Source organism: Homo sapiens, chromosome 18 (genome assembly GCF_000001405.40).
Source record: "Homo sapiens chromosome 18, GRCh38.p14 Primary Assembly".
Classification (NCBI taxonomy): domain Eukaryota; kingdom Metazoa; phylum Chordata; class Mammalia; order Primates; family Hominidae; genus Homo; species Homo sapiens.
In genome coordinates, this window is record NC_000018.10 from 13143779 (window position 1) to 13155777 (window position 11999).

General features: G+C 36.8%; 1 pseudogene; it reads right to left on the reverse strand.

Moving 5' to 3' along the window:
* Positions 1 to 7656: 7656 nt before the first annotated feature.
* On the reverse strand, positions 7657 to 9090 carry LOC100130487 (WD repeat domain 89 pseudogene; annotated as a pseudogene).

The window sequence follows — 11999 nt, forward strand, 5'->3', positions numbered from 1 at the left end:
TGCAGGAAAACAGTAATTAGGGAAGAATGAGGAAGAGGAGTTGGTCAACAGGCAGCAGGTGGTGCTCAGGCAATCATGAGGGTTGAGGGCCTGGCCACTCATCCTCCAGAGGCTGTGAGCTTGTAAGTTTCAGCTCCTTGATACTACCTGGGAGTCCTGATGGTCGGTTTCCTGAGAAAGGAACTCAGATAAGACAAATGTAACTTTCTCAAGTTTTAAGACTGAGAGGGTCAATTTCTATGTTTATTCAAAAGAAATGATAAACATCAGTTTTATGGGACAATTGGTCAGGTTTCAAAACTACCACAAACTCAGTGGCTGAAAATAATGCCTGCCTTTTTCTCACAGTTCTGTAGGTCAGAAGCCAGCACTGCCTGGCGGATTCTCTGCTCATGGTCTCAGGAGGCTGAAATCGAGGTGTCAGTCAGCTACATTCTCATCTGCAGCTTGGAATCCTCTTCCAAACTCATTCAGTATTTGGCAGCATTCAATTTCTTCTTGGCCATCAGCCAGGAGTCCCTGTCTCCTCCTAGAGGTTTCCCAGCTTCTTCAGCAGATCACAACATAGATGCGTCCTTTCCTGGTTGGTATCTGTGGGGGATTGGTCCTGGGTTCCTGGGACCTGTGCAGATAGCAAAATCAGCAGGTTCTCCTGACCTGCAGTCGGCCCTGCAGAACCCGTGGGTAGGAAGAGGCAGCATCCACTCTCCAGATCTGCGGGTTCTGCATTCCACAAATACTGTATTTTTGGTAAGTAGTTGGTTTAATCCATGCATGTGGAACCGTGGATATGAAGAGCTGACTGGGCTTGCTTTCTTCCAGACCAGCAGAGTGCATCAAACTCCAGGCTTCAAAGGGCTCATCTGAATAGGTCAGACCCACCCTTGATGATCCCTCTTTTGCTATAAAATGTGACATGATCAAAGGAGTGACATCTGATTCTACTTACAGGTCCATCCTCAAAATCTCAAAGGACCCCAAATAGCCAAAGCAATCTTGTAGGGAAAAAAAAAACTGGAGGCCTTACACATTCTGATTTCAAAACATATTGCAAAGCTATAGTGATCAAAACAGTATGATACTGGCATAAAGACAGAATAGAGTCCAGAAATAAACCCTCACATATATTGTCAAATAATCTTTGACAAGGCTACACAGTGAGGAAAGATAATCTCCTCAACAAATGTTGTTGGGGAAACAGGATATCCACATGCAAAAGAATGAATTTGGGCTCTTACCTTATACCATATACAAAAGTTACCTCAAAATGGACAAAATCCTAAATGTAAGATCCCAAACTGTAAAACCCTGAAAGGAAAGGGGAAAAAGCTTTATGGCATTGGAATTGGCGTTGATTTCTTGACTGTCACACCAAAACAGAAAATAGACAAATGGGACTATGTCAAACTTAAAAACTTCTGTGTGACAAAGGAAACAGTCAACATGGTGAAAAGGCAACCCACAGAATGAAAGAACACATTTGCCAGTCATTTATCTGATAACACGTTAATATCCAGAATTTATAAAGAACTCCTACAACTCAACAACAACAAAAAAACAAACATGCTGATTAAAAACTAGATAAAAGACTTTAATAGACATTTCTCCAAATAAGATACACAAATTGCCCACAAACGTATGAAAAGATGTGCAACATCATCATTAATCACCAGGGAAATGCAAATCAAAACCACAGTGGGATATCATCTCATGCCCATTAGGATGATCACTATACAAAATAAAAATAAAAAAAAAAACTAAAAAAAAAAAAAGTTTTGCTGAGGATATGGAGAAATTGGAAACCTGCATTGCTGCTGGGAATAAAAATGGTGAATGTTTTAGTCCATTTTTTGTGGCTATGAAGGAATACCTGAGGTTGAGGTTGGGTAATTTATAAAGAGAAAAGGTTTATTCGATTCACAATTCTGGATGGCTGGAAAGTGCAAAGCTGGGCATCTGCATCTGGTGAGGGCCTCAGGCTGCATCTACTCATAGCAGAAGGTGAAGAGCAGTCAGCATGTGCAGAGATCACATGGTGAGAGAGGAAGCAAGAGGGCAAGGGGGGCGTGGTGCAGGTTCTAGTTAACAACTAGCTCCCACAGGAACTAACAGAGCAAGAACTCATTATCGCAAAAATGACACCAAGCCATTCATGAAGGATCTGCCCCCATCACCCAAACACTTTTCACTAGGACCCACCTCTCAACACTGCCACATTGAGGGTTAAATTTCAACATGATATTTGATAGGAACAAACAAACTATATCCAAACCATAGCAGTGCAGCTGCTATGGCAAACAGTATGGAGATTCCTCAAACAATTAAAAATGGAATTAACATACAATCCTGCAATCTTAATTCTGGGTATATATCCAAAAGAACGGAACACAGACCTTGAAGAGCTAACTGCACACTCACATTCATAGCGGCACTGTTCACAAAAGTCAAGAGGTAGAAGCCGCCTAAATGTCCACCAATGGATGGTTGGATGGATGGATAAACAAAACGTGGTGCATAGGTACAACAGAATATTATTCCACCTTCAAAAAGAGGAAAATCCGGTCATGGACGAACCTTGAGGACAGTTCACTAAGTGAAATAAGCTAGTCACAAAAAGAAAAATGCTACAGGATTCCTTTTATATGAGGTATTGAAAGTAGTCAAACTTTTAAAAACAAAGTAAAGTAATGGTTGCCAGGGTCTGGGAAAAGGGAGAAAGGAGAGTTTTTCTTCAGTGGGTCTAGAGTTTTAGTTTTACCAGATGAAAATTTCTAAAACTCTGATGCACACAAGGTACTTACAGTGAGCACTACTGAACTGTGTGCCTAGAAATGGTTAAGACGGTAAAATTTATATGTTTTTGTCCACAATTTTTAAAAAAGAAGTTTTATGATGACATAGACCATTACTATATCTCCAGGGTCTAACACAAGTCTGGCACATAATAGGTGTGAACTAAATACTTGCTAAATGAAGGAATTCATAACTATAAAGCCTATGGTCTTAATTATTGTGGAGTATACTCTTTCTAAAATAGTAATAATCATCCCATATTATATATATATCTATATATAAATTGTTATTTCTAGGATGAGGGAGGGAACAGGGTATTGGAAACAACAGATGGAAGTTAGACTAATCGGAATGTACCTTCCTTTGTTGTTGATTTAGATTCCTTTGTTTTAGATTTGATTTTAGAACCATGTAAACATTTTCCATAATAATTATAAATCAATATTATATAAAAAATTTAAAAACAATCCACAAAAATAAAGACAAAAGAAATGAAACTAACATTTAGCATTTTTCTTTTTGTGACTGGCTTGTTTCACTTAGTGTACTATCCTCAAGTTTCAAGGATTGTATGTTAATTCCATTTTTAATTGTTTGAGGAATCTCCATACTGTTTTCCATAGCAGCTGCACTGCTATGGTTTGGATATGGTTTGTTTGTTCCCGTCAAATATGTTGAAATTTAACCCTCAATGTGGCAGTGTTGAGAGGCGGGGCCTAGTGAAAAGTGTTTGGGTGATGGGGGCAGATCCGTCACGAATGGCTTGGTGTCATTTTTGCAATAATGAGTTCTTGCTCTATTAGTTCCTGTGGGAGCTGGTTGTTAACTAGAGCCTGGCGCCACCCCCCTTTGCCTTCTTGCTTCCTCTCTCTCCGTGTGATCTCTGCACATGCTGGCTGTTCTTCACTTTCTGCTTATGATATTCTTCCCCCTGCTAAGTTTGTTTTTAGTTTGCTTTTGTTTTTCTAATTTCTTGAAGTGTAAAGTTAGGTTGTTGATTTGAGATCTTTGTTATTTCTTAATGTACATGTTCTGTGCTATAAACTTCTTCCTTAGTACTGCTTTTGTTACTCTCATAACTTTTGTTATGTTGTGTTTTTATTGTCATTTTTCTCAAGATATTTTGTAATTTCCTTTGTGTTTCTTCTTTGACCCATTGGTTGTTCAGAGTGTGTTGTTTAATTTCCACATATTTGGGAATTTTCTCCTTGTCCTACTACTATTGGTTTCTAGTTTCATGCCATTGTGGTTTAGAAAGATGCTTTGTATGACTTCGATCTTCTTAAATTTGTTAAGAATTTCTTTTGTGGCATAACCTGTGATCTGTGTACATCTGTGTACATTTGAGAAGAATGTGTATTCTGCTGTTGTTGGGTGGAGTGTTTTATATGCGTCTGTTAGGCTTAGTTGGTCTACGGTGTTATTAAAGTTCTTTCTTTCTTTTTCACTTAATATAATGACCTCCGGTTCTATCCATGTTGCTGCAAATGACAATATTTTATTCTTTTTATATTATAAAAATACAATATAAATACTATATAAAATATAATAAACTATATAACGCATTTTCTTTATTAATTCATTTAGTGATGAGCCTTTAGGTTGATTCCATATTTTGGCTATTGTGACTAATGCTGCAATTAACATGAGAGTGCAGATATCTTTTCAATATCTTATTTTCTTTCTTTTGGACATATACCCAGTAGTGGAATTGCTGGAGCATATAGTAGTTCTATTTGTAGTTTTGGAGGAACCTCTATACCATTCTCAATAGTGGCTATACTAATTTACTTTCCCACCAATAGTGTACAAAGGTTGCCCTTTCTCCACATACCAACATCTGTTATTGCCTGTCTGTTTGATAAAAGCCATTTTAACTGGGGTGAGATCTGTAGTTTTGATTTGCATTTCTCTGATAATTCGTGACGTAGAGCATTTTTTCATATACCCGTTTGCCATTCATATGTCTTCTTTTGAGAAATGTCTATTCAGATCTTTTGTCCATGTTCTATTGTAAACTTTTATTTTAGGTTCAGCAGTACATGCACAGGTTTGTTATATGCATAAACTCATGTCATGGGGGTTTGTTGTACAGATTATTTAATGACCCCAGTACTAAGCCTACTATCCAATAGCTGCTTATTTTACTCCTCTCTCTTCTCCCACCATCCACCTTCAGGTAGACCCCAGTGTCTGTCGTTCCCCTCTTTGTGTCCAAGTGTTCTCATCACTTAGCTCCCACTTATAAGTGAGAACATACGGTATTTGGTTTTCTGTTCCTGCATTAGTTTGCTAAGGATAATGTCCTCCAGCTCCATTCATGGTCCTGCAAAGAACATGATCTCATTCCTTGTTATGGCTACATAGTATTCCATGGTGTATATATACCACATTTTCTTTATCTAGTCTAGCATTGATGGGCATTTAAGTTGATTCCATGTCTTAGCTACTTTGAATAGTGCTGCAGTGAACATACCCATGCACGTGACTTTATGACAGAACAATTTGTATTCTTTTGGGTATACACCCAGTAGTGAGATTGCTGGGTTGAATGGTAGTTCTGTTTTCAGCTCTTTGAGACATCACCATACTGCTTTCCACAATGGTTGCCCTGATTTACACTCCCACCAACAGTGTATAAGCATTCCCTTTTTCCACATCCTCACCAGCATCTGTAATTTTTTGGCTTTTTAATAATAGCCATTCTGACTGGTGTAAGATGGTATCTCATTGTGGTTTTGATTTGCATTTCTCTAATGATCAATGATATTGAACTTTTTTCATATACTTGTCGGCTGCATGTATGTCTTCTTTTGAAAAGTGTCTGTTCATGTACTTTGCCCACTTTTTAATGTTTTTTTTTCTTGTAAATTTGTTTAAGCTATTTGTAGATGCTGGATATTAGACCCTTGTCAGATGCATAGATCGCAAATATTTTGTCCTATTCTATAGGTTGTCTATTTACTCTGAAGTCAGGTAGTGTGATGCCTCCTGCTTTGCTCTTTTTGATCAGGATTGCTTTGGAGATTCAGGGCCTTTTTTGGTTCCATATACATTTTGGAATTTTTTTTCTATTTCTGTGAAGAATATCACTGATAGGGTTCACACTGAATCTGTAAATGGCTTTGGATAGTATTGGCATTTTAGTAATGTTCTTCCAATTCATGAACATGGAATATTTTTCAATTTTTTGAGTCCTCTTCAATCTCTCATCAGTTTTTTAATAGTTTTCCATGTATAGATCTTTTACTTCTTTGGTTAAATTGATTTCTAGGTATTTTATATTCTTTGTAGCTATTGTAAATGAGATTTCTTTCTTTTTTTAATGTATAAAGGAAAGAGGTTTAATTGTTTAATTATCACAGTTCAACATGGCTGAGAAGGCCTCACAAAACTTACAATGATGGGGGAAAGCAAAGGGGAAGCAAGGCACCTTCTTTACCAGGTGGCAGGAAGTAGAAAGAGTGAGGGGCAAAGTGGGAGAGCCCTTTATAAAGCCATCAGATCTCGTGAGAACTCACTCACTATCATGAGAACAGCATGGGGGAAGTGCCCCCATGATCCAATCACCTCCCAGCTGGTCTCTCCATAGACAGGTGGGGATTATGGGGATTCCAATTAAAGATGAGATTTGGGTGGAGACACAGACAAACCATATCAGCCACTTATGTTATTTCTAATAACCCACTGCTCCCATTTCTTTTTTCTTTTTTTTTTTTCCACTTTCTAAAACTGTTAGTCTGGTTTTAGGTCCATCTATTTATATTCTGTGGCTTTCATCTTTTCTCTCACTTTCTGTCACCCACATCTTCCAACACTATTAATTACTTTTGAATTTTCGATATTTTTAATTTAAAAAAGCCCTATCGTTTTGATACTGTTTTATGTTTTGTGAATGTAATTGTTTTATGAATGTAATTCCTCAAGGAAATCTTTCAAACTAGTTTTTCCATTTACTACATAGCACTGACTTATATTTTAAAGATTCTGAAAAGCATAATTTTTTAATGTTTACATAGTGCTCCATCAAAACATCAATGTACGAAGAATTTGAGCAGGATGAGGCATCATCGGATGGTTTTGTTTCTTCCCCCCCACTTCCCCACCTCCACCAGGTCTATTTTTTATGGTTAGCCTAGAAGTAGCAAGGATAAACTGAAGCAGATTAGAGATGGAGTCTGTAATCTAGGTGGGAAATAATGAAAGTCTTCTCTAAGGTAATAGTGGTGAGGTAAAAGCAAAAGGGTAGCTGACAGATGTTAGGAGGTGAAATGGCGTAGGACGTGGTGAGTAACTGGTTAGGAAAAGAGGGAAGAGAGTAGTCCAGGTTATCCTCAGAGTCATGCTTTGGACAACAGGGAGAATAGGGATTTCTCCAAGTCAAGTCCTATTATAAATATATTCATTTTTATATTTCACTTTGAGTCTCAATTTAGCAAGATAACTTCCTTTTCATCAGCAAAACACCTGTTTACTGCTTACTAACAATATTAAGGGTGCAAATATTTACTAAATATATTTTTCTCATTTTAGATAGATGCCTATCATTTTATTTCTAAAAAGGTTTAATTCTATTTAGAGTCATTAAAATACTTACACTTAAATACTCAAACATAATACATTAGATGTATTAAGCATATAGATGCTCCTCGAATGAAGAATATTGTCTGATTTGGTTTCATACACAATGAAGATAATTTAAAATATAAAAAATTGGGCTTAAAAATGCAGCCAACCACCTGTTTTATTAAATTTTACCAGGTATCTACTTCTAAAAAGTCCTTATCAGTGCCATTTCTTTAAACCCAACATTTAGTAACTTAACAGATGTATTTTTAAAATTAGAAATTTTACTTTCAATGTACTGATTTTATACTTAATTAGTAGCTTTAAAATTTTTTAGAATATGTGAAGACCTGCATGAAACCATTCTCGACATTTTTCAAGGATTGTTTGCTAACTGGCTTGTTTTTACATACAGTTTTAAACATGTCTACCATTGGTGGTAAACAAGAATGATCACTTGAAACTATGAAACCTACCAAAGTGCCAGTGTATTAACACTGCTTTTTCTTTCTTTTATAAGAATCATTACTATTAACTCGTACTTGTTGGTGCGCAGAGGATGCCATTTTCATGCTCTCTTTCTTTATAAAGGCCTTCTCTATAGCTCCAGGTTTCCGAAGTATAACTGTGCATCTTCTCCTCCAGTCAACAAAGAATCATCCTGCACATTCCAACAGAAAGAACGAACTGTACAGCATGCCCTCCCTGAAGGCTAGTCACATGGGCCAATCCTAATGTTCATCAACTGAATCCTTCCTTTGTTATCCAAAGGAAGGATAACAAGCAATGTTTCCATCTTTTCATGATATAGGCCACCAATCAAATAGTCTAAAATATCTTCTTTCACATTAACCATTTCTCCGACATCCTGGATGTTCTAACATGTAATTGGTTCATCAGCATCCAGATGATTAAGATCCCACCAGTAAAATCTTTCATGTGTCATGCAGTAAATCTGTTTGTAACCTATCCCAGACCAACTGATACAGCTGACTGATGAAATTGAGTTACAGGTTGTAACCAGTGCGCCCTCTTCATTATCAACATTAATATCAAATACATTTACCAGGCCATCAAGTGAACCTGAGATTATCATGTTGGGATTGCTGGGATGGAAACGTACTTGAGTGACATCATTGCTATGTGTCTCTGAATATGCACCAATCGGGTCTTTAGTTGAAGATAAATCCTGAGAATTCATCCTTGCATCCCAAAACACCAACCATGCATCATCATCAACTTTTCTGTACCAGCACAAATAATATGATCATTACAGTTAATATCAAAATGGATAAAAATATTGGAAGGGTAATCTTTGAAGAGCTGGACATTAAGAAGTCCGGAATATCCACTAAATTCTCAGAGTACATTTAATCTTTCTCTATCATATATTCTGATTGATCCATTAGAATATAAAACAGCAACCAAGTTTTCTTTTCCTGCTTGCACAGTCTTCGATATATCTATGCCAAGAAGGTAAGTGTACTCTCTGGTTCCTGAGGAACATTTAACAATGTGCAGATTAGTAAACTGTTCCTCAGTCTTTTCCATATCAACAGTAGCATCCAAGGGTAGTAAAACTCCAGCAATCCCACTTTTAGGTATTTACTCAAGAGAAATAACAACTTATGTCCACACAAACATTTGTACATGTGTTCATCACAACTTTATTTATAACAGCCAAATACCTCAGCAGGTGGCCCCCAATGAGTACTGGAGAAAATGCAGGCTCCCAGATTTCTTTCTTGATTTCTTTTTCAGATTGTTTACTTTTGGCATATGTAACTGCTACTGATTTTCGTATGTTGATTTTGTATCCTGCAACTTTACTGAATTTGTTTATCAGTTCTAACAGTTTTTTGGTGGAGTCTTTAGATTTTTCTAAGTGTGAGATCATGTCATCTGTGAAAAATGCTAATTTGACTTATTTCTTTCCAATTTTGATGTCCTTTATTTCCCTTGCCTAATTGCTCTGGCCAGGACTTACAGTATTATGTTGAATAAAGATGGTGTAAGTAGCCAGGTGCAGAGGCTCACTCCTGTAATCCCAGCACCCTGGGAGGCCGAGGTGGACAGATTGCTTGAGGCCAGGAGTTCAAGACCAGCCTGGGCAACATGGTGAAACCCCATCTCTACTAAAAATATAAAAATTAGTCAGATACAGTGATGCATGCCTGTAATCCCAGCTACTTGGGAGGCTGAGGCATGAGAATCACTTGAACCCAGGAGGTGGAGGTTGCAGTGAGCTAAGATCATACCACTACACTCCAGCCTGGGTGACAGACCGAGACTCTGCTTCAAAAAAAGAAAGAGTTGAAAGTAGGTGTTTTTTGACTTGTTCCATATGTTAGAGGAAGGGCCTTCAATTTTTCCCTATTCAGTACCATATAAACTGTGGAATTGTTATATATAGCCTATATTATTTTGAGGTGTGTTCCTTTTATACTCAGTTTGATGATGGGTTTTATCATAAAGGGTTGCTGGGTTTTATTGAATGCTTTTTCTGGATGTGTTGAGATGATCATATAGTTTTTATTCTTGGTTCTGTTAATGTGATGTATCATATTTATTGATTTGTATATGTTAAACCATCCTTGCATCTCTGGGATAGATCCCATTTGACTATGGTGAATAATCATTTTAATGTGTTGTTAAATTCAGTTTGCTAGTATTTTGTTGAAGATTTTTTTTGCCTCTATGTTCAATCAGTGATACTGACCTACCATTTTCTTTTTTTGTTGTGTCTTTGTCTGGTTTTGGTATCAGGGTAATAATGCTGGCTTCATAGAACAAGTTTGGAAGTATTCCCTGTACTTCAATTTTTTTTTAGGGGTTTGAGTAGAATTGGTTCTAGTTCTTTGTAAAACGTCTGGTAGAATTCAACAGTGAAGGCATTACATCCTGGGCTTTCTTTCTTTCTTTCTTTTTTTGAGACAGAGTCTTGCTGTGTCACCCAGGCTGGAGTGCAGTGGCGCGATCTCGGCTCACTGCAAACTCCGCCTCCTGCGTTCACGCCATTGTCTTGCCTCAGCCTCCTGAGTAGCTGGGACTACAGGTGCCCACCACCACGCCCAGCTAATTTTTTTTTTTTTTTTGTATTTTTTTTCAGTAGAGACGGGGTTTCACTGTGTTAGCCAGGATGGTCTTGATCTCCTGACCTCATGATCCATGCACCTTGGCCTCCCAAAGTGCTGGGATTACAGGCGTAAGCCACCACACCCGGCCACTTTCTTTCTTTTTTTAACAGAAACCTTTTTATTATGGCTTCAATTTTGTTACTCATTATTGGTTTGTTGAAGTTTTCTATTTCTTCATGGTTCAATCTTGATGGGGTGAATGTGTCCAGGAATGTATACATTTCTTCTATGCTTTCCAATTTGTTGGCATATAGTTATTCACAATAGTCTCCAATGATTCTTTGTATTTCTGTGGCCTAGTTGTTATGTTTCCTTTTTTGTTTCTAATTTTATCTATTTGGGTCTTCTTTCATTTTCTCTTAGTCTAGCTAAAGGTTTGTCAATTTTGTTTATCTTTTCAAAAAAACCAACTTTTCATTTTGTTGATTTCTGTATTTTTTTAAGTCTCAATTTTATTTATTTTTGCTCTGATCTTTATTATTTCTTTTCTTCTACTAATTTTGGGTTTGGTTTGTTCTTGCTTTTCTAATTCCTTGAGGTGTATTTTAGGTTATTTATTTGAAGTCCCTTTCTACATTTTTGATATAGCCATTTATTGCTATAAACTTCCCTGTTACTACTGCTTCTGCCACATCCCATAGATTTTGGTATGTAGTATTTCCATTTTCATTTGTTTCAAGAAATTTTTAAATTTCCTTTTAAATTTCTTCATTAACCCATTGATCATTCAGGAGCACACTGTTTAATTTCCATGTGCTTGTGAAGTTTCTGAGGTTCCTCTTATTATTGATATCTAATGTTAGTCCATCATGGTCAGAAACACATACTTGATATGATTTCTGCATTTTTGAATTTGTTTAGACTTGTTTTGTGGCCTAAGATATGGTTTATTTTGGAGATTATTCCCATGTGCTGATGAAAAGAATGTGTATTCTGCAATAATTGGGTGAAATGTTCTGTAAATGTCAGTTAGGCTTAGTAAGTCTTGGGTATAGTTTAACTTTTTTTTTTTTTTTTGGCTTTCTGTCTGGATGATCTGTCCATTAACGAGTAGGGTATTAAAGTCCCCTACTATTATATTTCAGTCTATCTCTCCATTTAGATCTGTCAATGTTTGCTTTATATACTTGGGTGCTCTGGTATTGGGTGCATACGTATTTGTAATTGTTATATTCTCTTGCTGAATTTACTCTGTCATTAAATAGTGACCTTCTTTGTATCTTTTTACAGGCTTTGATTTGTAGTCTGAGATAAATATAACTACACCTGCTCTTTTTTAGTTTCCAGTCCCATGAAATATCTTTTTCTACCCCCTCACCGTCAATCTATGTGTCTTTATAGGTGAAGGTGGTTTCTTGTAGGCAGCATATATTTGGGTCTTGTTTCTTTATTCATTCAGCCATTTTATGCCTTTTATCTAAGAGGACTGAGTCCATTTATGTTCAGTGTGATTCATCATAAGTGAGGACTTACTACTGTCATTTTGTTCCTTGTTTTCTGGTT